The sequence below is a fragment of the Homo sapiens genome, chromosome 7 (assembly GCF_000001405.40).
Source record: "Homo sapiens chromosome 7, GRCh38.p14 Primary Assembly".
NCBI lineage: Eukaryota > Metazoa > Chordata > Mammalia > Primates > Hominidae > Homo > Homo sapiens.
Genome location: NC_000007.14, coordinates 103141066 through 103168919, shown reverse-complemented (window position 1 = coordinate 103168919; position 27854 = coordinate 103141066). Strand labels below are relative to the sequence as shown.

Below are 27854 nucleotides of genomic sequence, written 5' to 3'. Positions count from 1 at the left end.
ATTGACATCTGTACTCTATTTGTATAAATAAGATAGGTTAAAATTTGTTCTGTACCCACTTCCATTATAATGCCAATAACAAGTTATTACACTCATTTATTAGTTGGAACTCTTGGTTCCAAAGAAAAAAAAAATCAAGGCTAAAACCACAAAAAAGGAAATGTAGGGGGCCTCAAGCACTGGGGTGTTGGAATGCGGCTGGAGGGTCTGGAACCAACAACTGGTGGGAAGCAAGGCTCTCCAGGATTCATTCAGTCATCTAATTATTCTTTCTCCCTCCTCCATCCTTGTTTCTCTCTCTCTGCTGCACTCTACTCTGCACACTGATTATTTCTATATTTCTACTTCTCAGCCAACATAACAAGCAGAAGTGGCTGCTCCATAATCTTCAGTTTTGAGTCTGTCATTCACCAGGCTTGCCCAGGCTAAATTAAAACTCTTAGTTAAAGGTTCAAATTCCTGGGAGAGACAATGTTGCCTGGTTGTGCAGGGGCCATTATCCATTCAGGGCTACATCACATAATACAATTGTGGTGCAGGCTCCTGGGCATAGAAGGGGAAAGAGTGCTGCTGGGGAGGGCCTAAGGGATTCTTGGTGAAATGGAGAGCCACTCCAGAGGGTGGTGGCTACAACGTATTTACACACACACTTTCCTGCTCTGCTAGACTTGTTTTGTTCTTCTCTATCCTCAATATCAAGCCCAATCCATAGTAGGTAGTCAATGCATGCTAAGCTTCATGAGTGGAAGTTTTTACAGTCACATTTCTTAAACAGCAAAAGCACCTAGAGTCTGGCGCACTTTGAGAATCTTGTGATAATTAGCACACTAAATGGTGTTATCTCTTTTAAGTCCATCTTCATAATGTGAAATGTAACCCAAAGGCACATGTTGATGTCTGAAAACAAACTTCTCTAATGTAATTATGCCTCTTTAATGAAATATCACAAAATGCATTTTAAGTGGTAATGGAATGGGGAAAAAGTACATAATGATCAGGGAAAGCATGCAAACACAGTATTTAGATATATAGATATGTCTTTGGCTTACAATTTAATAATGCTAATGTATGTCTTAGTGTCTGTGGACTAGAGATGCAGTAGGGCTCTATGAAAAGTCTATTCATTTGAAGTAATAAAGATTTGGGGGTAAATTATTGGGAGATAATTGAAGGCTAGAGGAAAATATGCAGTGAAAATCTAGCAATCAGAGCTAGACATTCTCAAAGGTAATCAGAATTTTGTACCAATCTCATTTTATTCAAAGTATCCCATATTTTTTGAGTTGGAAGGGATTTAGGGAAACATGTATTTCATCCCCTCTTGGTAACAACCAGTGACTTGGCCAAAGTCACATCAATGTCTTGGAGGGTCAAGGGACCAAAATGCCTAAGTGGAGGCACACATGTCCTAGAAGCGTTGGCTCATTCTTTCCCCCATGGCTTGCCATTTATTCCTTTAAAGGGGGAAATTCTCAGCTTGGAGTGATTTAATCTTATGCAACAAATGCTGTGGCTCCTGGGACTTATGTAGTCTTGGCAGGCAGCAGAATGCCCCAGAACTTATCTCTGCAGGCTTACCCATAATACTGATGTGTTTGTTTTGTCACCGTCTATTTTTCCTGCCCATTTTCCAGGAAGGCCCTAAGCTGTAGCACCTGACACACACTGCCAATGTCTAGCTTCATGCACCTTCCAGCTACCTTCTTCAACTCAGTTACATAAATATCTTTCTGCCTAGGTCTATTTTCCAGGCCAATGGTTCCCAGCCATGGTGGTATCACAGCACACTGGGGTGTTGCAATGAGCTGGGGTGTAAGACATTTGTTACTAACAACAGAGTTCCAAAGTCTACTAATGACTTACTTTGTAATACATAAAGAGAATTCAAGTTAATCCCCATAATTTGCCACACTCAATTGCACTGAACATACTTTCTTAGGATGGGCTGTGATTCTTAGGGTCGGCTCTAAGCATCTTTATTTTCAAGGAAGCAATTTTTAGTTTTAAGGGAAAAAAACTCATGTTGTTATCTTTTATGAATTGTCCATCTCACAAGACAGTGTAGTGTCAAGGGTTAGGAACAGTGGTCTGAGTTCACACCCCAGCTCCACCGCTAACTAGTGATATAACCTTGAGCAAGTTTCCTCAGCCTCTCTGAGTTCTTTCTCCTACAAATTGAGGATAATGAAAGGATGCATCTTGTAGGCGCCTGTGAGAATTAAACAAGGTAGTATATGTGATATCCTTAGACAGTCCCTAGAACTTGGTAAAGGCTAGTTTTGTAGGGCTCTTTTTATTTGCTATTGTAAGGCTTTTCCCTTTTCTGGGGGTTTTCCTTGATGGTGTATCAGTCTTCTAATTTTGGGGCATAAAGAACAAATGTATCATTAATGCTTTGTATCATGCCCATACACAAATCTATAGGCTGGCTAAGCCTGGATTTCTTTTGTTTTCTTGACTCTTAAAATTCCATGGGCCTGTTTCTTGGCTGACTCCAGAAATGTATCTTGTGCTTGAGTAACTCCAGGAAAAAAGGGTATTTGAGAAAATTTTCTCCAAGATATTTCATGACTCTTCATCAGCTCTCAGTCTTGCACCTTGATTCACTTCTCCCTTCCTCCATCCATCATCATCACGCTCTTTCTGTTTCTCTTCCAGGGAGAGGGGAGATAGGGTGAGTCCTGCTCTGGTTGCCTGCACTGCAGCCAAGCTGGGGCCAAGCAGAGGAGACAAGTGGGGGTCTGGGAGGCAAACCTCTGGCATCCCAGGTTAAAGTTTCAAACCATTTTCTAGCCATTACTGTATATCTACTGTGCCCTGTGGGATAAATTAGCATTCATGAGCTAACCTAATTGTTGTAGAGTCTACAAAAGCGGAGCTCAAATAGAGATCAGTGCCAGGAACGAAGTCCCACCTTTGATGTGTGAAACGCACTTCCACATTTTGACTTGTGATCAGAGAGACATTCTGCATTACTTGTTACCTCATTATCTTTTCCTTTTACTGTACAGACCCTGGGTAAAGATAAATTTACTTTTAGATATATATGTTAAAAATCTATCATATCATAAGGAATGAGCAAAGAGGTCATTTCTCTTTTCCCTAAAGCTGTGGGTCTCGGGCTCCCCGCTTGGCAGAATCACCTGAGAAACTTCTAAAAGGTACAGATGCCATCCTTTTCTGATTGCATTCGCCTGGAGTGACATCTGGGCACCAGCATTTCTCAGAGCCTCCCAGGTAATTGTTATGTTGCCAGAGCTGCAGGGATGAGAGGCAGCAGCCTATGGGCATCCACTGAGCAGTGTCATTACTCCTTTTCCCCCCAATTTCAGGTTCCAAAAAAAGGGTTAGATGACACCAGCTCTGAAATAGTCTAACTCCACAGATCCCAAAATAATATATCTGTGTAACCTCTTAATAAAGTTTTATAAATAGTACATGTTCTATTGTTACCTACCTCATTCTCTTGGCAACATTTTTAAGACTTGTTTCCAAGATTCATCTTAAACTACTAAAACAGAATTATGATGGACATTCAATAGCTATTCCTCCAAAATATGATTCTAAAAAAAGGGGGGGTGCTGGGCACAGTGGCTCACGCCTGTAATCCCAGCACTTTGGGAGGCCGAGTTGGGCAGATCATGAGGTCAGGAGTTCAAGACCGGCCTGGCCAAGATAGTGAAACCCCGTTTCTACTAAAAACACAAAAAAAGTTAAACAGGCATGGTGCTGGGCGCCTGTAATCCCAACTACTCAGGAGGCTGAGGCAGGAGAATTGCTTGAACCTGGGAGGCAGAGGTTGCAGTGAGCCGAGATCACACCACTGCACTCCAGCCAGGGCAACAGAGTGAGACTCTGTCTCAAAAAAAAAAAAAAAAAAAAAAAAAAGCAAAAAAAAAGGATGAAGGATAAACTGTGGAAATATGACTCTATTTTTTTCCCACGATTTCTTAAAATTTTGTTTACTTTTTCTGAATGTGTCCTTCACAAATGTATAGATTATTAAATATTCCTAATACAGGAATATGAGAAAATATTTGTCCTCAAAAAATGGAAAACAGGAGCAAAAAGTTAAAAAAAACTGAAAAACCTTTGCCAGGTGCAGTGGCTCATGCCTATAATCTCAGTACTCTGGGAGGCTGAGGCAGGAGGATTTCTTGAACCCAGGATTTTGAGGCCAGCCTGGGCAACATAGTGAGACTCCATATCTATAAAAACACACATACAAAACAAAAAAAAACCCTTAATTTAGTGAGAAGTGTGACCTCCAAACACTCAGAACTGATTCCTTTGGAGTAATGACCCTTAAACCACCTTTCAGGCCAGCATTTTGCAAGGTGCGGTCAAGATCCATGTGCATCATAGTCCTCTGGCTAGAAATGCAGACAAAGACCTCACCTGAAACTCATTCTCTAGGGACAGGAGCTGATAAAGCGCATCTTAAGCAAGCTTCCTAGATATTTTGCTTGCTTTTATTTTTTATAGCAGCATTGCCATCTTTAAAATAAAATTGTGCCTGGAATCCCAGTGAAGGGATGATGCAGGCTTGGGGTTCAGCAGTGGCCTGTTCTGGGGCTCCAGAGAAGTTTCCCTGAGGCATCATACCCAGCCACATGAGGGATTCCAAACATCAGTGTCACCTCTGCCTCCAGCTTCCAATGAGCTGCCCATCCCTTAGCTTTCCTCCTCTCCCTCCATCATGTCTTCATTCCCTGGGCTGCCTTTGTTAAGGTCCTTGGTCCCCTGGTCTCACTATACTCTTTCTCCTTTAATTGTCTTATTTGTTCCATGGTTTCTGGATTACAGGCATTTGTCCAAAATAGTCACAGCAGAAAAGAAACTCAGAATACCTAAGGTTGGAGTGAGACAAATTAATTTTTTTGAACGTTTGCGTTTAACACACTGAACAGTGGAAGTTTAGCATCCCATCATTTCATTATTTACCCACTTTGGCTGGAGTGGGCTTCAGAGATAGCCAAGCATTCTCTGGCTGTCCTGGATTGCTATGGAGGGCCAAATCTTGTATTACATGGTTGTCTGCCTTATGTAAAGTAACTAACATCAGATTCTCCATGCAAGTCTAATTCTCATGAAGAAAATAATATTGCAGATTAGAACTTTGAAGCTGACATTGAAGGAACTGTGTGTCGGTTCTTACGGTCCTAGTTGTGTTTTTTTTTCATGAGAGATGAGGAAAGGAGAACAAACACCAAGTCTGCGTGTGAATTGCAGTGCTATGATAAGCATAGATTGGGCAGTTCCAACTAGCTCTCAAGACTGTTTAAGATCCAAGTGTGACTAAATGCTGATTCACACAAAGCAATACACATCATTTGAAACAATCACTGGGGGGTATTATTGTGGCATCTCTTTGGGGGAATCCAGAGGCCCAACTTAACCCTCACTAATTTCCACACATTGAACAACTGAGTATTGAGACAGGCTCAGGATGAGGAAAAGCACTGGCCGTAAAATATCATTAACATCATTACCCAGCCCCACAACCTCAGTCACCCCCAACCAGAGGTGGAAACCCTCAAAACATGGGTGGAAGTCCATGGACCAACCATGGAATTTTGGGCTGTGCGTTTAGCTGATGCCACTTCTTCCTCTGTGTGCTTAGCTGATGCCACTTCCTCTTTTGTCCATTGCATCCATAAAAGAAGCCATTTTGGGTAGGCCAGAAAGTATGGGACTAAGGTCTTTTTTTTTTTTTTTATCTTCTATCCTCCAATTCTCTCATTAACTCAGGGCCAATGGCAACTGGGAATCACTTGTTTTGATTCCTCCTGAGACTGCACAGAACACACATGGCATATTCCTCCCAAAGCTGCTAGAAACCTAGTATGGTGTACACTGCTCTGCAAGCAAGACGCCAATGCTAGAGCACAATTTCACTGCACTTTATACTTCAGCTCTTGCCAGAGCAGCCTTGACTCCTCCAGACACGATGTTCATAGTCCAGGTGCAAAAATCAGGTGCTGGAATTCATGTCAGTTAGTTTTCTTTTAAAAGCAAAAGACTCCTTACCAGCGACTCCTCCCTAATCAGTTGCCTGCTACAAACTGGATACTGTAACAACAGGGAGCTTCTTGGCTGGCAAAAGTAAAAGTAGGGAGTTCACCCACTCCAGCATTGCTGAGCAGAGTGTGCTTCAGGTCATCTTGCCAAGGCAATGAAATGTTTCCAGCTATTTCCTTAAGGTTCATTTCCTAAGAACAAACCATGATTCATGGCACTGGGGGGACAGGGGGTGAATTGAATTAATGCCTGATTGGTAAGTAAAACAAATAAATCTCTTAGTTTTAAAATATATCTGCAAGATTACTCTAAAGTAACTATAGTTTAGAAATGTACAGTGAATACTTTGAAGGTCTAGACTTACACCAATCTGTTTCCTAATCATTAGGAATCTGTATTAGAGTTCTGTCAGTCAAGATTTGATCCACTTATTTATTCAACAAATGTACTATGCATGTAGTGTGTGTAGCTACTGCCCTAGGCACTGGGGATGCAGTATTGCCTTCAAGGAATTTACATCTAATCTATTACTTAATATATTCAAAATGGGAGAATCTTTGCTTGAACCTATTAATAGTAATGAGGTCAAGTACAATCATACATATTTTCCAAAGAGTTAACCTTTCAGCTGGTCTCATATTTGTCCTGTCATGCTCTAAACATTATATTACAGGCGTGCCATACCTCATCCTTCCTGTTAAAGCAGCAGCCTCCCAGCCCCTAGGATTTCTTCCCGTCCACATTCTTGCTGTCATCTCAGCCATCCACACCGCCCACATCACAAATTTACTCCCTCATAACATATCTACTTGCACAATGTTCCTCAAATCCTGTTTAAAATCCATTAGTGTTTTGCTCAAGAACCTTCACTAGTTTTTTATTTCTAAATAAAACATTTGCCCTTCTTTAAGGCCCTAAATCTCGAGTCATTTAATGTAATTAAACTTGTTTTCTGTGATTTAATTAATTCATTTAATCACGTAATCAATCATTAACCAACAAAGATTTAATAGGCACCTATGCTGTATCTGGTGGCCCTGAGCCACCAAAGGTATTGGTAGCAGATGCTGTGGTGGCCACCCAGATTCCTCCTTCAGGTCTGAAGCCCTCCTCCCCTCAGCATGACAGGGGTGTTGGTGGCTAAGGGCTTCCAACTGAGTCCCTCTTTGGCAATTGCTCTCGGCTGAAGGGAGCTGCCTTCCCAAGGTTACTCCCGCTCACTGGAAGCAGTCAGCACTGATAATAGGTTGATGTGAATGTCAAAGGTTTGGGACCCTTACTGCAACTTGCAATGAGTTTGAAGGGGCATCCTAGCTCCGGAGTTCCCTATTGGATTGGACTGAAGTTCAACTTCTCTCAGCCCAATTCCACTTTCCTCACCCCATAACAGGCTCAAGAAGCTTACAGTGTAACAAAGAAATCAGACAAATAAGTGGACAAATAAAACAGTGTGGTAAGGCTCACGCCTGTAGTCCCAGCACTTTGGGAGGCCGAGGTAGGTGGATCACCTGAGGTCAGGAGTTTAAGACCAGCCTGACCAACATGGTGAAACCCCGTCTCTACTAAAAATACAAAAATTAGCTGGGTGTGCTGGTGCGTGCCTGTAATCGCAGCTACTCGGAAGGCTGAGGCAAGAGAACCACTTGAACCTGGGAGACGGAGGTTGCAGTGAGCCAAGATTGCGCCATCGCACTCCAACCTGGGGGACAAGAGCGAGACTTCATCTCAAAACAAAACAAAACAAAAACAGTGTGGTAAGAGATATGACAGGGGAAGGTCTAGGTTACAGGAAGAGAAGAGAGTTCCTTCAGGATCTGAGTTCTAAGTGAGATGTGAAGACTGAGCCAGAGTCATCCAGGAGAACTGGCAGGGCCTGGGCAGGACAGAAGGGTGGCCATCCAAGATAACAATATGTGTGCATGTCCAGGGAAGAGAGGGCATCAGGCACTGAGGAATGGTGAGAGGCACTGGGAAATGGTGAGGGGCACTGGGGAATGGTGAAGGGCACTGGGGAATGGTGAAGGGCACTGGGAAATGGTGAGGGGCACTGGGAAATGGTGAGGAGCACTGGGAAATGGTGAAGGGCACTGGGAAATGGTGAGAGGCACTGGGAAATGGTGAGAGGCACTGGGGAATGGTGAAGGGCACTGGGGAATGGTGAGAGGCACTGGGAAATGGTGAGGGACACTGGGGAATGGTGAAGGGCACTGGGAAATGGTGAAGGGCACTGGGGAATGGTGAAGGGCACTGGGAAATGGTGAGGGACACTGGGGAATGGTGAAGGGCACTGGGAAATGGTGAAGGGCACTGGGAAATGGTGAAGGGCACTGGGAAATGGTGAGAGGCACTGGGAAATGGTGAGGGACACTGGGGAATGGTGAAGGGTACTGGGGAATGGTGAGGGGCACTGGGAAATGGTGAAGGGCACTGGGGAATGGTGAGAGGCACTGGGGAATGGTGAAGGGCACTGGGGAATGGTGAGAGGCACTGGGAAATGGTGAGGGACACTGGGGAATGGTGAAGGGCACTGGGAAATGGTGAAGGGCACTGGGAAATGGTGAAGGGCACTGGGAAATGGTGAAGGGCACTGGGAAATGGTGAAGGGCACTGGGAAATGGTGAAGGGCACTGGGAAATGGTGAAGGGCACTGGGGAATGGTGAAGGGCACTGGGAAATGGTGAGGGGCACTGGGAAATGGTGAGGGACACTGGGAAATGGTGAGGGGCACTGGGGAATGGTGAAGGGCACTGGGGAATGGTGAGAGGCACTGGGAAATGGTGAAGGGCACTGGGGAATGGTGAGAGGCAAGGCTGGAGAAGAAGGGGCAGGAAGACGGTGTGTGACATAGATCCTGAAGGCCTAGTTAGCCATGTCGACACAGTTGGAAGTGTTGAATGGTTTTCAAAACAAGGAGTGACATGATTCGATTTGCATATTGGAAACAGCTCTCTGGAAGATTGATGGGCAACAAGAGAAGATGCAAAGAGGACAGTTAGAGCTGCTGCTGAAGACCACGGGAAAAACGACTGTGGATCATGGCATTGAGGGTGGAAAGCAATGAATTGATTTGAGGACCATTAATGAGACAGAATCAGCAGGATGACTGCCTGGATAAAGGAATAGGGGGAATGGTAGTGCCACTTGCTGGAGTAAGGAGACTGGAGGAAAAGCAGACTTGGGGTTTCAGGTGACTAAAAGACACCCCATCACAAGGAGGAGCCCCTCTTCTGGACACAGCCAACCTCTCTTCCAGGGGATGGTGCTCCCTCTACTAACTAGCTGCTTGGTCATCTCTCCATTCTTCTGGCTGCCTTTCTACAGTCTTAAGCATGCCCAAATCACATGGCTGTTATCTTCATTAGAACTCTCCACTAAACCAGCATCTCCCCAAGGCAACCACTAGATCTCTCTCCTTCCTTCATGCATAGACATCCTTGGCAGAGTCCCTTATACCTGCTATCTCTGCTTCCTCAGAGGTTTCTAGGAGTCCTTGTGCTTTCCTCAGAAGGATTTTCCAGTCACACTCAAGTTCACAGAAGTCTGGCATCTTCATCTAATACTGCACAGAACTGCTCTCACCAAGATGGTTAAAGACCTCCATGTTTCTGGTTCACAGGACACGCCAGTCATTATCATGTCAGCTGACCACTTCCTTCTGTTGGTTTCTCTGACCCACATGCTCCTGGGTTTTGTGATCTCTCTGGCTGCTCTTTTCCAGTCTCCCTTACAGATATCTCTTGTTCACAAACATTGATGTCCTCTAGAGTTCAAAAACTAGGCTCTTTTTACCTCACACACATTCCCTGGGCAATCTCATTATTGTCTTTTTGTTGAAGATTTCCAAACCTGTGTCTACAGGCCAGCTCTCCTCAGTCTCAGACCCATACGCCCACCTGCCTGTTCAGTGCTTACACTGGCGTAAGAAGCAGACTCTTTGGTGAGTCGGAGGGTATGTGGCAGCTCCTTCTGATGGTGCCCAGTTTCTCCATTGAGTAAGAGGCAAGGCCATGTTTAGGGGTGTGGGAGTTGGTGACAGGGTAGCAGGTTTAAGAGACTAGTGGACATTTGCTGTATCTTCTTGGGAGTTTGGAATTAGGAGAATGTAGAAGCCAGTATGTGGGATCCAGTTGCTAATGGAAACTATGAATCCATAGGGTTCCTGCCTTCTAAGTTGTGGGATTTCTCCAGCACTCCAGTAAATAGCATGGGTATGGATCCAAAGTTGGATAGTAACATTCTGTCACGTGGATGAGACAGAAGGACCAAGCAAGGAAAGATCCTGGCAGAGGGAGGTGCAGTGACAGGCCCTGGGATGAAGATAGAATACCAAACAGACTTGGAGGCAGTAGAGGATTGGATGTTTGAATTTTAAAATGCAGAGGCAAAGCCAGACTGGGGTGATGATATGGTGCAAGGTGAGACCATAAGTGTTGGTCAATGACATGAAGTGGGAGTGCAGGTCCCTGGAGATGAGGATGTCAAGGGGCTCACAGGCTCAGTGTTGAAGTCATTCCTAGCACTGGTAGGAGCTGGAAGGACTGGGGCCAATGCTGGTGAGGTCAAGGGTGAGCTGACGGGCAGTCTGCACAAGACACTAGTGACAAAGAGCGGAGATAAAAAGGAGTTCAGAGGAGTTTTCCAGGAGGGAAAAAGAAGGCTTGGGGAGGGAGGGAGTGGAGCTGTGGGAGAATGAACCTGTCATAGGAGAAGGGTCTTCTGGGAAGGGGTGGAAGCTACAGAGAAGAGCTGAGTGTATCAGGAACAGATCTCTGACCCCAGGAAGCATAAGGCAAGGTTGAGTAGAGGGAACAGCTTAGGAGTGAGAGGATACATTGTGTGAAACATCCAGGTTCCCACCCTAGATAATGGAGGTAGGAGATCGACCATACGATGTCCAGCTGAATTGGTCCCAAATCTTCCTGTGTCTGGGGGCAGGTGAGAGGAAGGTTCAGGCCTCTGAAAAGGAGTCAACAGAAGCAAGCTGGAGGAAAGCAAGTTCTGGCCCAAAGAGGAGGCCAGAGGTAGAATTTTTGCCTCCCAGTATTCCTAAAGCCACCTTCATAGTAGGGGGAACTAAGTACCCTTGGGGGAGAAGCCTGCTCTGGCCCAATTAGATTTGGGGAACTCTGAAAGCCAGGCTTCAGATTGGGGTACTCCAGGCATTTCATGTTCCACTCATTAGTTACCTCATTCATTCACTCTTTAATCCATTCACTTATTCCTGAAACTTACATTAGTTGTTTCTTCCCTTCCTTCCTCATCTGAAGAGGCTTAAAGTGTTCATATTAGCACCGACTGTGTGCCAGGCACTGAGGAAGCGTTTTTAGAAATATATAGCTCCCTGATTATAATTCCTTTGCCATGTTCCCTTCTATTAAAACAAAATCTAGCCTTCCAGCATGGCCTAGACCAAATTTCGCCTATTCCCTGAAAACTAAATCATGTTGGCCATCATCTCTTCCCTTTGGAAATCTTTTAGTACTTATTCTCTGAATCACATATTTTGCTATATATTTTTTTCTAGCTTACCCTGCCTGTCCAATGAAACTGTCAGCCCTTGGGGATGGGGACTTAGTATATGAATTTTAAGTGTATGATTCGGTTAAGCATGTAAATGGGAGTCTGGTATCCTCACGAGCCGTCTGGTGCCTAAGTAGCAGGCCTCTAACATTGTATGATTCTCTCAGGGGGTTACTTATCATTTTTTCAATTTCCTATAGCTATGCTTCTCTTTTCATGGGAAGCATAGACAGGGAAGCCTAGAATTTCGCCTGTTTTTATGGGCAGTAGGAAGAAACATGGTTTAATAGTGCCAATAACACAACTACCTGCCTACTGGTCAGGTAATTTGGCATAAGCTCTATGCCTATATATGCAGTATAATCCAGTGGGGGCTATCCAGTCCCGGTGGGACTCCAGGTGGGTCCACATGGTCTGCAACTTTGGGAATTTACTAAACGGATTTCTCACTGTGTGATGTAAACTCCACCAAGAGACTATTTTTGTGGTACCATTACACAGTTTCTGTCTCAGACAACTAAGTCGTCCTATGGGGTGAGTGAATTCTTTTCCTTCTCTAGCTATGCAATATTGTCCAATAATGGAGGCTTTTAGGACCTAGAAATCATCAGGGTGATTCTTTTGAGCTAGGAATTCATCAGGAACTGGGTCTGTAGGTACTAATTCTCGGCCTTCCTATGGCCATTGATCTCCTATTACAGTTCCTCCACATACATAACATGAAGTGACATTGCGAGACTGGGCTACATGCTCGGCTAATTGCAAAAACAAATTTCTTGTTTTTCTTGTAGTTTCTGGTACTGGCATTTAGTTCATCATAGAAAGTTTGAAACACTGGCTCAACTTATTACTCCAGGCTGTAGAATCCTGGAAAACAGCTACCATGCAGCCCACACCTGGCCAACTGGAGGACCACCTTAGTGGAAAGGGGACAATTTGGGCCTCTGGCCCTGCCATGTGCACAAGCATAACAATTGCTTTTGTTTAACATGCAGATGGAATATTTGATCCATTTTGACCAGGCATTTGCATCTTGGTATCCTGTCTTAATTGCTAAAGTTTGTTTTAAGTCTTTAACTTCTATCATCCTCTACTAAAATGAATGTATGGTTTTAGGAAATTACAAAACCAGCTGGGGCAGTCCATCCTTGCTCTTTAGTGGTCCACAGAACATTGGACCAACTATGGCATGAAAGCTCTACGTCGGGGGGCAAGACTCCTTGTTGGCACTGGGGTCTTTATCTAAATCTCCCTGGATTAAATGGTCCTAGTTTATTAATGCCCAGTCTGAGGAGAGTCAGGAGGGACAGAAGTGCTTTTCTGAAGTAGAGAGCTGTCTTTGACTTGGCAAGTCCTCACAGACCATGCTTCCACTCAAATGGAGTAGGCAAGTTCCCAAGACCAATCCTGTCAAGCTATTCAAACCAAGTCAAAACCAAAACCAAAGTACCAATAAAGGCATGCCGTGGGTGATCAGGCCACACTTCCACTCAAATGGAGTGGGCAAGTTCCTAAGACCGGTCCTGTCAAGCAATTCAAACCAAGTCAAAAACCAAAACCAAAACCAAAACCAAAACCAAAACCAAAGTGCCGATAAAGGCATGCCATGGGTGATCAGGCTACGCTTCCACTCAAACAGAGTGGACAAGTTCCCAAGACCAGTTCCCAAGGCAAGCATTAAATGCAATAGTTTGAGGTGAAATCGACTTGGTTATGTTAATAACTAGATGGTCAGCAATAGAACGAGGAAAGAAGAAAGAGCAATAGAATAGATGAAAAGAGTTAAATTTCTCTTAGCTTTAGTTTGGTAGGGTTTTCCCCTGGGACTATGGCCTATGACTGTGGAGGGGGTAGCGCTTTCTTGACTTGGGTGTAATGAATCCATCCTTTTTTTTTTTTTTTTTTTTGCTGTAGGAACAGCAGTCTTGGTGGTTAGCAGCACAAGGTAGGGTCCTTCCTAGGCTGGCTCCAGTTTTTCTTCTTTCCACCCTTTGATGATAACGTGATCTTCAGGCTGGTGCTGGTTTACCAGAAATTCTAGGGGTGGTACCTGTGCTAAAAGACTTTCAGTTTTTTTTTTTTTTTTTTTTGCGAGAAAGGAAAGTGGAAGATAAACCAAGTATATAATTTTTAAGAAAATTGACCTTTTGTTTTAAATATGGGGACCTTGGCAGTGGACTTTATAGTCCTTAGTGCTTTTTTACTGAGAAATTTCCTTTAGAACCTATTTTTATTAGTTTTTAAACCAAAGAAAGCCAAATACCATTTTACATTTAACAATGCTTCTCACATGATTTTTATACCAGATAAGCTAAATTTTATCTTTATATTAGTGTGTTATTAATGTTAAACCTAATTTTAATAAAACCTTGTAAACATATTTACTTAATTTTTTAATGTTTGACTATTAGGAAAGATTTTATAGACTCTTTAACCTTCTATAATTTTTACTAAAGAGCAGGTTGGTGCTTTAAGAAAAACCTGTTATGCTTTTAATTTACTGTCCAGTTCACAGAAAAACTGGATGATACCTCTTTAACTTTAGCTAATATGTTTACAAACAGCATTTTCTTTACAATTAACGTTTTAAAACTTGCTTAAACCTTCAAAACAATAATTCTTTTTAACTTTTTAATGTAGGTAAAAATGTACATTCTTAGGCCTCCTTATAATCCTTTTACCAAAGGTATATTTTACTTTTCTTATACACCTTGCACATAAACTGTTTTCTTTTTTTTTTTTCAACGGTTTTACATTCAGGAGGCCTAGTTACTTTTAAATTATACAACATTTTTTGCATAAATTTTTTATAACTTTTTTTCATGACTTTCGCAGACAATTCTTCAACATGCCTCAACTTTCTGACTTATTACAAATATTTCTTTCTTTAAACAACCAGTTAATTTATTTCAGGACAAGAATTTACCATATAATACTTTTTTTAATATAAATTCTGCCCCCGCTTTTTTTTCCTTAGGATACTTCTGAACTGGTGAGGTGTGATCACAATGACGTTTCCCCTAAAAGTTATTTTTTCTTCTTACCTTTTTTTTTGTTTGTTAGCAAAGCAGTTGCCGCTACAGATTGGATGCATTTGGGCCATCCACGGGTTACTGGGTCAAGGATTTTTGATAGGATGGCCTCAGTGCTTTTGGGATACGCCCTTGTTTACACTGACAACAAAGTGGTATTGAAGTGTTATAGGGTTACGGAGAATACCTTCAATTATCAATTATAGGTTTTAAATTTACCTTGGCTTTTAAAGGAATAGGGTACACTTTTTTTTTTCTCAACTACTTGTGTATCTCTCTCTTTGACTTTTCCTTTTGCCTCTGTCTCTTCTCTCTCTCTGCCTCTCTCTTTCTCTCTCTCCTTAAATCCCTCTTTGTCTGTCTCTTCCTCTCTCCCTTTGCCTCTTTTCCTCTCTGTCTGTTTCCTTTCTCTCTCTCTGCTGTTCTTTCCCTGCCTCTGCCAGCCCCTTATGCTGCTGTTCTCTCAACCACTGTGTGTTGGGGGCGGGGGTCTAAAACCAGCTGTAACCAAGTGTCTATGTACGGGAACTGGTCTAGGTTCCCCAGCTTACAGGTTACCTTGTGCCATACCTTTGAAACAAGGGACTTGTCCAGGCTTCCTTCTAATGGCCAACCTACCTCTAACGCTGGCCAGCCTAATTTACACAAAGTTTTAAATTTTCCTAGTGTCATAGTACTCCATAGTCTCCTTTACATTTTGTTCTGAAAATTTTCAACATAGTTCCTGGTAGGGTGGGCTTATTTGTGCCTGACCTATGCTTCTTCGAGACAAAACACCACACTCACGCCACACGCACACAAGAAAACAACAGGTAAAAAGGGCACACACACACTTTTGCAGTTTCCACCAAACCAAAATCAAAACCAAAATCAGAGTATCCAGAAATCCAAGCCAGGTCAAAACCAAAACCAAAGTATCAAGCAATCTAAGTAGAGTCAAAAACAAAAACCAAAGTGCGGGTACAGGTACACCGTGGGTGATCAGGCGACGCGTCCACTCAAATGGAATAGGCAAGTTCCCAAGACCAATCCTGTCAAGCTATTCAAACCAAGTCAAAACCAAAACCAAAGTGTCGATAAAGGCATGCTGTGGGTGATCAGGCCACACTTCCACTCAAATGGAGTGGGCAAGTTCCCAAGACCAGTCCTGCCAAGCAATTCAAACCAAGTCAAAACCAAAACCAAAACCAAAGTGCCGATAAAGGCACGCCATGGGTGATCAGGCCACGCTTCCACTCAAACAGAATGGGCAAGTTTCAAAGATTAGTCTTACCAAGTTTTAGATGTCCAGACTCCAAGTGCCCATTCCTTCCCGGTGTTCAGCCACTGCGTTGATTCTCCACGGGGGCCTGCCACACACTGCTGTGGTGAGGTGTCCCACCGGGGCAAATGCCTACCCGGGAGCGCTCTCAGGATCCGTGTCGCTTGGTCTGGTCACAGTCTCCCACAGGGATGTTCCACAGGACAGGCTTAAGCTGCCTAAGGAGCTGCCTCCACCATCCACCAATCACCTCGCTTCCCAGTCAGGGAACCAAGAAATGTAGCAGGACGAGCCACAGACAAAACTCCTCAGACACCGAGTTAAAGAAAGAAGGGGTTTATCCGGCCAGGGGCATTGGCAAGACTCCTGTCTCAAGAGCCGAGCTCCCCGAGTGAGCAATTCCTGTCCCTTTTAAGGGCTCACAACTCTAACGGAGTGTGTGTGAGAGGGTCGTGATCGATTGAGCAAGCAGGGGGTACTTGACTGGGGGGCTGCATTCACCCGTAATTAGATCGGAACAAAACAGGATAGGGATTTTCACAGTGCTTTTCTATACAATGTCTGCAATCTGTAGATAATATAACCAATTACGTCAGGGGTCGATCTTTAACTACCAGGCCCAGGGTGTGGTGCCTGGCTGTCTGCTTGTGGATTTCATTTCTGCCTTTTAGTTTTTACTTTTTCTTTCTTTGGAGGCAGAAACTGGGCATAAGACAATATGAGGGGTGGTCTCCTCCCTTAAGAAGAGCGTCCCCAGGAGAAACAAGCTTGACCACTATGCTGTCACAGAGTTTCCTCTGACCACTGAGTCTGCCATGAAGAAGATAGAAGACAACAACACACTTGTGTTCACTGTGGATGTTAAAGCCACCAAGCACCAGATCAAACAGGCTGTGAAGAAGCTCTATGACACTGATGTGGCCAAAGTCCATGCCCTGATTAGGCCTGATGCAGGAAGAAGGCATAAGCTCCACTGGCTCCTGATTACAATGCTTTGGATATTGCCAACAAAATTGGGATCAACTTTGTTGCTGACCCAACAAAACTGGGATATTGCCAACAAAATTGGGGTCATCTAAACTGAGTCCAGCTGGCTAATTATAAATACATGTATCTTTTCACCAGGTTCATGCCTCTTTGTCAACTTCTGGTTGGGCTGGGGAGGCCATTCAAGGTACTGAGGTTGTAATAGGGCCTGGGCAAGACTCCTGTTCTACTTATCCTTTTGGAACACTCACTCTGCCACTCCACCATACTTGATCACTCCAGAGATCTTTATGACCAGAGCTAGTTGTCCTAAGAAAACCAGAACTTGTCTCCATGGTAGAGGTAAGAAAACAAGAAGCTGCCGGGTGGCGGTGGCTCAAGCCTATCACTTTGGGAGGCCCAGGCGGGCAAATCACTTGAGGCCAGGAGTTCGAGATCAGCCTGGCCAACATGGTGAAACCCCATGTCCACTAAAAAGACAAAAATTAGCCGGGCATGGTGGTGGGCACCTGTAGTCCCAGCTACTCAGGAGGCTGAGGCAGGAGAATCTGGGAGGCAGAGGTTGCAGCGAGCCAAGATCTGGCCACTGCACTTCAGCCTGGGTGACAGAACGAGACTCCGTCTCAAAAAAAAAAGAAAAAAGAAGAGGCTTTACAAGAACCCCTTCTTTTATCCCTGGAAGAGGCTGTGTGTGAAACCAATGCCCACAGTTTGAAGGGCATTAGCATTCATCTTAGGGGAGTGTGGGTTGGCTGGCTTTCAGGTAGCACTTTGACCTCACACACCCATCTACTATGTCCAACTGGTCTGTCTGCTTCCCTCAGCCTTAACCAATAAAGGACAAGGACTTAAAAAAAAAGAGTGGGAGTGAGGGGAACAAAGGGCATCTTTTTTTTTTTTTTTTTTTTGAGACAGAGTCTTGCTCTGTCTACCAGGCTGGAGTGCAGTGGTGCCATCTTTGCTCACTGCAACCTCCATCTCTGGGGTTCAAGCAGTTCTACTGCCTCAGCCTCCCTAGTAGCTGGGATTACAGGTGAGCTCCACTATGCCTAGCTAGTTTTTGTATTTTTACTTGAGACAGGGTTTCGCCATGTTGGCCAGGCTGGTCTCGAACTCCTGACCTCAGGTGATCCTCCTGCCTTGGCCTCCCAAAGTGCTGGAATTACAGGCGTGAGCCACTGCGCCCAGCTTTTTTTTTTTTTTTGGGGAAATGGGGTCTTCTCTGTTGCCCAGGCTGGAGTGTAGTGGCGTGATCACAGCTCACTGCGGCCTTGATCTCCCAGGCTCAATCGATCCTCCCACCTCAGCCTCTGGAGTAGCTGGGACCACAAGGGCGGGCCATCAAGGCTGGCTACTTTTTTTTTTTTTTAATTATTATTTGTAGAGATGAAGTCTCGCTATGTTGCCCAAGTTGGTCTCCAACTCCTGGGCTCTAAGGATTCTCCTGCCTTGCCCTCCCAAAGTGCCGGGATTACTTCTCCGTTGCTTAGTCAAGAACACTATGAAGAACTTTTGAGTAGTAACTTCAACTTACCCTTTGGGTTTGTATGTATGCTGTTACTTTTTTTTTTTTCTTCTGTTGCACAAAGGTATTATTCACCTTATGCAGTTTCAGCTCCACCCAGGTGCAAGCAGCTCTTAATCACCCTTAAGTTCAGCAGCCACTCTAAGCTAGCCTGAGGAGATAAAGTCCACACTTGACATACAGTTCTTTACATTCCTCCAATGTCACACAGGCACATTCACTTTCAAAATGCAGAATAGTTTGGTCTGCATTTTTCTGCCAGTCTTATCTGCATTTAGAACCTGTGGTGGTGGTTTCTTTTTTGCCAAGATAACCCCAGGGACAAGCTTTTTTTTTTTTTTTTGACCCTGGCACACCCCAGGACTTTTATAATCTTTTTGCCCAACAACCCATTGTTGAATTTTACTTCGACATGCCTGTACTTTACTTCTTGAAACAACTAATTTCATTCTGCAGTTTAAAAAGCAAATCCAGTAAGAAACTCAGAATCACAATCGTATGCTCTTTCATAGTTATCCTAGCGTTAAAAAAGATGCAAATTTAGATGAGAACCGTGTGTACCAGGGGGCTGTGACATCATTTTAAAAGTAAACGATCACACAGTGAACAATGCCGTGCTCCCATTAATATTCAATACGTACTGTACAACATTTCAAATTAGAGTTTAGTTTCTTCGCTACCAGGATCCTAGCGCCATAGGCTGTAAGTATTCAAATGCTTCTCGACTGTGATTGAGTTGGCTATGACAGTCCGTCAATGGGTCTGCAGGATCCCATTTAGTTTTAGCAACTGTGGCTGGTGTCCAGGAATGCGTTCATGCGATCTGAAAGTAAGCCTCTGGCTTAGGACAGCGGGGGGAACCAATTTGATCTTAGGAGGGTCCCTGCAGAGTGTTTGAGTCGCGAGGCGGGCCGGGGCAGGCCGCGTGCTCCCAGGCGCTTCCTTTACCAAGATGGCTTCGGCGCCCCGGCCCACAGGGGCGGCCATCTTGGTAAGGGCTGGAGAGGCAGCCTGAAGGAGGCCACCGCTGGCCCTGCTGTCAGATTCGAAGGTCATAATAAGGGAGTGACCCGGCGACGACTCGCCCCAACGATGGCGAGGCGGCGAGAGCTGAAGCGCTGCCTGCAGCTGCTGGCGTCCTCGGCGGAGCCAGCGCGGCGGGCTCGGGTTAGGAAGAACCCGAGCGCCTGCCGCGGTCGCCCCTCCCGCTACGCGGCGGCGCTTTGCGCGGGGACTCTGTGGCCGGAAGCCGCGGAACTGAGGCGGCGCGCGCTCCCGGCCACCCCAAGCGCGAGGTGAGTCCGCACCCCCGCGCTCGCACCCCGCCGCTCTGGCCGCGCGCCCGCGGCCCGGGATCCCGAGTGTCCGGAGCTCCGTGGTTTCTGTTGGACCTCGCGGGAGGCGGTTTTCTCCCGCCTGCTGTGCTCTGTGACCTCTCTGCTGCCTCCTCCACGGTCTCTGGGCGGAGCAATCCACACTGCTGAGCCTGGGGTGGTTTGGAATTCTTCGGCGAAGTGGAGCGGGCTGAGAGTGGGTTTCCCGTCCCCGAGCCCTCCCTCATCTCGGAGATGCCGCACTTGTGAGCGACAGGGCTTCATTTGAATTTTCGCACCTCGCGAGTTGCGGAGCCTGCATCTCTGAAGCTGCCTCGGTGAAGAGCCACAGCATTATTTTTTTTCTCTTTGGGAGAGTAGCTGTCTGGGATTTGAGATCCTATCTTCCCTGCAAATTACCAGGTTGCATCTTCACTGATAGGAATACATGTGGGTTTATCTTCTTTTGGTTGTATGTAAATGAATGGGTCGACAACTTCCTCCGAGCAACTTATTGTTGCTTCATCTATAGTGTTTATCTTCTAAAAATCCATTCCAACAGGTTTCTCCCCTTTTATTTTGGAATAAGTGTACTTATTTAACTATGGAATGGAAATGAAGAGCAAAAAAAAAAATGGGGCTAGCTGGGGAGGGGTGGTGGAAGGCTGTGCTTTCTTGAGTTTTCTGTTCTGTGGTTGTTTGCTTCTTATAAATTGGGTATTATTGTGGGCTTTTCAGAACACGTATTCAGATAGGTTTTTGTTGTTGTTGTTTTGTTTGTTTGTTTTTTCCTTTTTTTTTTTTTTCAAGCTAGAGCTCGATATGGTAGATACTCTTCCATGGGTTCCGGGATCACATGCATTCATTATACGTCAGTTAAACCTGGAAAATATTAAGGGAGTGAGTAAAGTTTAACAGCCTTTTAAAAAGTCATTTAGTTCTTGTCTTTGCCTTTACTGTACGTTGTTATATATACATGTTATAATATGACTGACTCACCTGGTTGGCTTTGGCTTAGCATGAAATGTTTGCTACTTGATAATTCTGATTAATTTGTCCAGGAAGTCATTCCTGAGATGCAGTTCTTCAAATTGAGAAATAATTCCCATGTTTGTTAAAAAATGGAAATCTCTAACATTTCCATTTCTATTTTCAGTTACATTGGTTATGAATTAGCCGCAGACATGGACATCGTTTAGAAAGAAGTTATGTAATCTTTAAAAAGAAGATTACCTATATCCCACAATAGTGTGATTTTTGTTGCAAGAAAATACTGGGTCTGTTAAAGAAGAAATTTAGGGTAAAAGTACTTATTTAAAATAATAATTTAAGGAGAGATTGAGGGGTTAAATTTGTTTCAAGTCAACTGAAAATATAGTCAGGATTTTCAGAGATTTTGTTTTGTTAACATTCTGCAGGCTTTCCTGCTACAAGAATTATGGTAAGTCTCCAAGAGATAAAAATACTTAGTGTATTTCTCATACCCTTATTTTCACTCAGAATTCCAAATTATATTGTAGAAATTCTATGTTACAAAATTCTAATTTTAAAATTAGTCCAGTTATAACTATATGAAGAACATTTTAGCATAAGCATTCCATCACAGGGTTTTGGTTATACTTTAGTTGATACAGTCATTCTTGTGTTTGTTCGAAAGGGGTATTATGTTACTTTGAGTATTTGTGAGTTTGGTAAACTGAGAGGATTTTTATGAACATTTAGTCTGTGTTTGGAAAAGCAGTATTTGCCTTTAATTTTGTTGTTTCATTCTGCTTTTTCTTTGTGGTGATGGATAGCTGTGGATATAGTGAGTTTTTCCATTGCTTTCTACACTTTGTAAATAAGAATATAGCTATAGCTGGAGGACTGTTGATCTGGGCTTTTTAGGTTGAAATGCATACACATAAAAAGTGTTTTCATTGAAGTATTATTAGGGAAATGAACTGTATGTATAATTAATCGTTAAAGAGCACTTTTATTCTGGAGGCCAGTGAGGGCATGCATAAAACTGGCATTAAAATATCACCCATGTGATTTCCAGCATAAGATTCAAGTAATATTTCATTCTAACGCCTATACTACTGAATAATTCTGTCTACAATTTATAGTGCTTTGCTTGATTTGTCTTTTGAATTTATTAACCATTTATTGTGTATTTAAGTATTTTACTAACAGACTTTGGAGACAGATTGCATACGAACTCATATATCCCCAGGGGCAGTTTTATGTTAGAGATAGTCTTCTGCAACCTCAGCTGGTTAAATAATGTATTATAACTTTATCATTTACAAAGCTCTTTCAAATATTTTAAATATATGTATATATATAGAGAGAGTTTGATTTTATAGACATAAAATATGAGCCTTGTTCCACAGATGAGGAAAATAGGACACCAAGAGCCTGGGAGAGTCTGGTGATTTGGCCAAGGAACCTTAGCTCAGCAGCCCCAGCCTTCAGCAGAATATATACACTGCAGACTCTTGTTACAGCGGGGTTCCAATGAAGCGAAAGTGGAGGGGTGTGGATTAGCAAGCGTTGGTCAGCAACACACTCACAGATTGCACCCCTGCCTGTGGGTAACAGGTTGTGAATGGCCAGTGCTGTTGGCTCTGGAGGCACAGGTCTGGCATGTAGATGGATCAGCATAATTCAAAATCTTGATTGAAAAACAACTCAGTTTGTGCCTGCTACCTGGAACAATCCATTTTTCCCCTTGAAGGTGCAGACTCTTGTGTTTATCTAATTTGGGCACCTTCCCAGATTAAGGGACAGTAATATATTGATTTAACACTGAATGCCTGTAGGCTTCTGCGTGATTTTGTAATCTCTCTCAATTACAAGAATGAATAGAGAAACACCAAGCTTTCTCATTGTCACTAGCACTCTTGAACTGGTCACATCTTTTTTTTTTTTTTTGAGACGGAGTCTCGCTCTGTCACCCAAGCTAGCGTGCGGTGGGGCAATCTCGGCTGACTGCAACCTGTGCCTCGTGTGTTCAAGCGATACTCATGCCTCAGCCTCCTGAGAAGTTGGAATTACAGGCATGTGCCACCACACCCAGCTAAAACTGGTCACATCTTAATAGGACACCCGGATGACAGCAGTCATTAGTTTTGAAAGTTATTATTTTCTGTATTTTGAAGGTCCTTCAATTACAAAGATGTTCTCTGTTCAAGTTACTGTGTTTGTTCCTTCAGTTTGTTTAGAGAGCTCATGGAAAGCTCTCTAAACTAAGCTGTCTATATATTCTGAACATATATGTGTGTGCGTGCGTGTGTGTGTGTGTGTTTTCCAGAATGTTGTGCTATTTTATGGTAAAAGTAGCCAATGAAAGCTTAAAGAGTTTCTGGACTCAAATTCTTTTTTTTTTTTTAAACTTGAAGCCAAACTAAGTAAAATACCCCACATAAAGTAAAATGTGTCATTTATCTTCCTATGCTGATTGTATGCCCCTTCGGTTCCAAGTGTTTTTAAGCATAATTAGGGTGACAGCATGGCTGATACGTAGTCCAGGCTCCATCATCAGCCAGAGCTAGATCCTTGGAATGTCATGTAACTCTCTGGCCTGACTTGGTTTACCGATTAGGTAAAAGGGTCACACAAGTGATGACTTCTGTCATGGAATGTTCAAGTTGGAAGGGACCTTAGAGGGAATGTACCTGGTCCAATCTCTTTAATGTGCATATTTTTAATTTCTGCTGTCACAGGAGTTTAGCCTGTCATGATTACCTCAAAATTGAAACATTGAAATTAGGCTTTTCCACCATTTCACAGATATGAAATACTTTACAATTCTTGGCTGAAAGTTGATTTTCTTTCTCAATCTTTCCTCATATAGTGTCTCACTTTTATGTGTAGACTAAATGCCGATTGTATATAAATGTACATGTGCTGTTTGGAGCCTCTTTTTTAGCTGGGTGAACGCTAATACTGATGATGCACATATTGAATATCATCAGAATGAAGAATTTGATCTAATAAACTTTTTTGGTATTCTTAGCAACATTGTCTTAGTTAAGCCTGATTACGTATAGCATTATAATTTTTTTCTTTTGCTTAGCCACCCGAATACCTTCACATCTTACTTTATAATCTTCATCTTCAATTTAGTTTAAACTGCGCACACATTTATAAATTTTTTTGAAGATATGACTATGCATTTATATGGTCACCTGAGACATAGAATGATCAACCCTCCAGGTTTTCCCAGAACCAAGGGAGTTCCCAAGATGCAGGAATTTTTTTTTTTGAGACAAGAGTCTTGCTGTGTTGCCCAGGCTGGAGTGCAGTGGCTCAATCTCAGCCTACTGCAACCTCCACCTTCAGGTTCAAGCAATTCTTGTGCCTCAGCCTCCTGAGTAGCTGGGACTACAGGCATGCACTACCATGCCTGGCTAATTTTTGTATTTTTAGTAGAGACAGAGTTTTGCCATGTTGGCCAAGCTGGTCTCGAACTCCTGGCCTCAAATGATCTGCTTGCTTCATTCAGCCTCTGAAAGTGCTGGGATTACAGGTGTGAGCCACCACACCTGGCCTAAGATGCAGGACTTTAAATGTTAACACTGGGAAATCCTCAGGCAAACTAGATATGTTGATCCTCCTACCTGACAGTTTCTCTTTATGGGACTTGACTAGCCATTCTCCCCAGCTTGAAAGATAACATGTTAGGTGGTTTTATGCTGGATAAACTGAGACACCTTTTGAAAGCAAAGGAAATGTCTTCAAGGTACCATGTGTATTTTGTTTATGTGACTAAAATACAGAACCAATTATTTGTTGATGGTTCTTTTCAATGTAACTGTAAATTAGAAAAATTGAGTAATGAAAGTTATAGCATTTGAAACCTTCTTCATGTAAAATTAAAGGGGCAATTATATTTATAAGAGAACTAGTATTTATTGAGCATCTCCCAAGTACCTTTTACTTTGCAAAAGGGGAGAAAATTTTGTTGAAAGCCAAAAAAACAAAACAAAAGAAAAGGTGAGCCTTGTCAGTGAGACCATAACTGTTTGCAAAATGCTACTAACTTTAGAACCTAGGTATCTACTCAAGATAAATTTATTGAATTTTCCTTGTAGATTCAACATGATTAGTGGAAAGAGCATGGGCTTTGGCATCTGGTCAACTTGGGTTTCATCCCTAGATCCAACTGTTAACAACTTTATTGCTTTATGGAAGCTATTAAACTCTGTGAGCCTCTTTTACATCACCTATAGCATGAGGATAATAATTATCTAAAGTGCTTGGTACATAGTAAATGCTTAGTAAATGATAAATGGACCAGGTGCCGTGGCTCCTGTCTGTAATCCCAGCACTTTAGGAGGTCAAGGCAGGAGGATTGCTTGAGGCCAGGAGTTCAAGGCTGCAGTGTGTTGATCAAGGCACCCACATATGGATTAGGAAAGCTGTATTTTGGGCATTTGTTACCATTGGTGTTTTTATAGCTCCCCTAAACCTGAACCTCCCAGTTACGGTAATCGTATCAGTTAGGATTAATTTGTTGTGATTTGAAAGATTGCTCAAATATGTTTTTCCTACACATGAAAGAAGTCCAAAGTTGGACAGTTCAGGCTTGGTATGGTGGGCCCTGAAGTCCTTCTGGCTCTCCTCGATGCCATTCCTTGGATGTGGCACCCTCCTGGCTCAAGATGGCTCCAGGTAGCCAGATGCAGGACAAATCGAGAAGAATGCCTCCCTTTCCCTTAAGGAGACTTCTGGAAGCACCATAAAAGGCTCGTATCACATTGTTCAAAGTGTCACCAACCTGGCCATCCCTAGCTAGAAGGCTGAGAAATGTCATCATTTAGCTGATGCATAGTTACCCTAAGTAAAACGGGTTCTGTTACTGAGAAGAAAAGGAAGAGAAGATTTTTTTTTTTTCTAAATACATGACAGATTAAAGAACACTAGATTTTATGGCAGGCATCTTTTCGTCTTTACCACTGTGCTGCCGCTTTACCACATAGAATTTAACTACTCAATTATTCCCCAAGACTTTTCTATTTTTATTTATTTATGTTTATTTATTTATTCTTAGACAAGCTCTTGCTCTGTCACCCAGGCTGGAGTGCAGTGGCATGATCACGGCTCACTACAGCCTTGACCTCCTGGGCTCAAGCAATCCTCCTATCTCAGCCCGCCACACCTGGCTAATTTTTGCGTGTGTGTGTTTGTTTTTTTGTTTTTTTGTTTTTTTTTTTGTAGAGACAGAGTCTCACTATGTTGCCCAGGGTGGTCTTGAACTCCTGGGCTCAAGTGATCTGCCTGCCTTGGCCTCCCAACGTGTTGGGATTACAGGTGTGAGCCCCTGTACCTGGCCAGTTTTAATTTTTGTTAGCAGAGTTGGTGGGGATCTCCACTGTTGACTTTTGTCTCTCTGTCTTCTGGTCATTTTTGCTTCTATTATTTGACTCCTAGCAGGAGATCTTTTAAAAAACAATTAACTGTATCCTAATGAAGAGTGATTAGGAGTTTAAGCTCTGGTTTTTTCATTTATTCATTCCATAAATATTGTGCACTCATTGTGTACAGGCTGCTTTGTGTTATTGACAATGTGAATCATTACTGATTATATTTCCCTTTTTTTGACTTGGCTTCCTGGGGGCACAGAGTCAAATTTGTGACTCAGTTGGATTGAGTACAAGCCTTGCCCTGTCAAACTTTCTTTTTTTCTGTCACCCAGGCTGCAGTGCAGTGGCACGATCTTGGCTCACTGCAACCTCTGCCTCCCTGGTTCAAGTGATTCTCCCACTTCAGCCTCCCAAGTAGCTGGGATTACAGCCGCCTGCCACCATGCCTGGCTATTTTTTGTATTTTTAGTAGAGATGGGGTTTCACCATGTTGGCCAGGCTGGTCTCGAACTCCTGACCTCAAATGATCCACCTGCCTCGGCCTCCCAAAATGCTGGGATTACAGGCATGAGTCACCATGCCTGGCCCCTGTTAAACTTTCTACCTAGCAATGTGGTTAGTCTTCCCATCCCACTGTATAGCAGTTTCAGGATGATGCTGCCTCTCTAACTTGGAGTGCTGAACAGGAAGTAAGAGTTGGCTTTACGGTAGGCAGCTGCCAGGCTAGCATAAATTCTGGCATACCAGAAAATCCCTTTGATCCTTCCTAAATGCTTGTCTTACTTTGTGCCAAATGACTAATGATTTAAAGCAGTGGTTCTCAACCCTGCCTGTATATCAGAAACACCCACAGAACTTTTAAAAATTATCTAGAGAAACTGCCCCACCTGACATTTTGATTCAGTAGCCTCTGGTGTAGTTTAAAAAGCTCCACAGGGGAGCTCTTTCCTTTCGCTGCTGTGGCTGCAGCCTTGAGTATGCTCAGGCTTCAGAAGAGGCTTGCCTCTAGTGTCCTCTGCTGTGGCAAGAAGAATATCTGGTTAGACCCCAATGAGACCAATGAAATCACCAATGCCAACTCCCGTCAGCAGATCCGGAAGCTGATCAAAGATGGGCTGATCATCCGCAAGCCTGTGATGGTCCATTCCCCCGCTTGATGCCGGAAAAACACCTTGGCCTGCCGGAAGGGCAGGCATATGGGCATAGGTAAGCGGAAGGGTACAGCCAATGCCCGAATGCCAGAGAAGGTCACGTGGATGAGGAGAATGAGGATTCTGCACCGGCTGCTCAGAAGATACCGTGAATCTAAGAAGATTGATCGCCGCATGTATCACAGCCTGTACCTGAAGGTGAAGAGGAATGTGTTAAAAAACAAGCAGATTCTCATGGAACACATCCACAAGCTGAAGGCAGACAAGGCCCGCAAGAAGCTCCTGGCTGATCAGGCTGAGGCCCGCAGATCTAAGACCAAGGAAGCACACAAGAGCTATGAAGAGCACCTCCAGGCCAAGAAGGAGGAGATCATCAAGACTTTGTCCAAGGAGGAAGAGACCAAGAAATAAAAGCTGCCCCTTTGTGTGTACATACTGGCCTCCGTGATTACATAGATCAGCCATTAAAGTAAAATAAGCCTTTATCTGCTTGCAAAAAAAAAAAAAAAAAAAAAAAAACAACTCCACAGGTAATTCTGATGTACATTTGAGGTTTCAGGGCTTGTACCCATGTGGACTGGAAATGATCTAGGGAGGATTTGCACTTTGTTCCTTATCTGTCACACACTGGAAATCAGATCTTTCTTGAAAACCTGTTTTGGCCATGGAAAAAGCAGATGGGGGGAACAATATG

The 27854-nt window shown here is 43.5% G+C and overlaps 2 protein-coding genes and 2 pseudogenes across 38 annotated transcripts in view; 3 read left to right on the top strand and 1 right to left on the bottom strand.

Annotated features, from left to right (window-relative positions):
• Positions 1-917: 917 nt before the first annotated feature.
• On the bottom strand, positions 918-27154 carry LOC105375434 (uncharacterized). The gene is made up of 3 exons (XM_047421168.1): positions 27079-27154; positions 18356-19902; positions 918-3014 (listed from the first exon to the last, which is right to left on the bottom strand). Exons 1-2 carry the CDS (start codon positions 27152-27154, stop codon positions 19100-19102), a joined length of 879 nt encoding a protein of 292 aa, XP_047277124.1. The 3' UTR covers positions 918-3014; positions 18356-19099.
• Positions 16577-17102, top strand: RPL23AP95 (ribosomal protein L23a pseudogene 95; annotated as a pseudogene).
• The window catches only part of NAPEPLD (N-acyl phosphatidylethanolamine phospholipase D), a 50226-nt gene continuing 41290 nt past the window's right edge, over positions 18919-27854 (top strand). For 16 of the 36 annotated variants that reach the window (NR_169877.1, NR_170071.1, NR_170072.1 and 13 more), the window contains exon 1: positions 19821-20109. The gene's annotated coding sequence lies outside the window, so the exon portion shown is untranslated. Of the gene's footprint in view, positions 19049-19597; positions 20110-20469; positions 20560-20815; positions 20960-22578; positions 22701-27854 lie in introns of those variants that run through there. The other 20 variants (NR_169881.1, NR_169882.1, NR_169880.1 and 17 more) reach the window with 8 other exon arrangements.
• RPL19P12 (ribosomal protein L19 pseudogene 12) lies at positions 26517-27650 on the top strand (annotated as a pseudogene). Its single transcript, NR_026660.1, has one exon. The product of NR_026660.1 is annotated as a ribosomal protein L19 pseudogene 12 (transcript).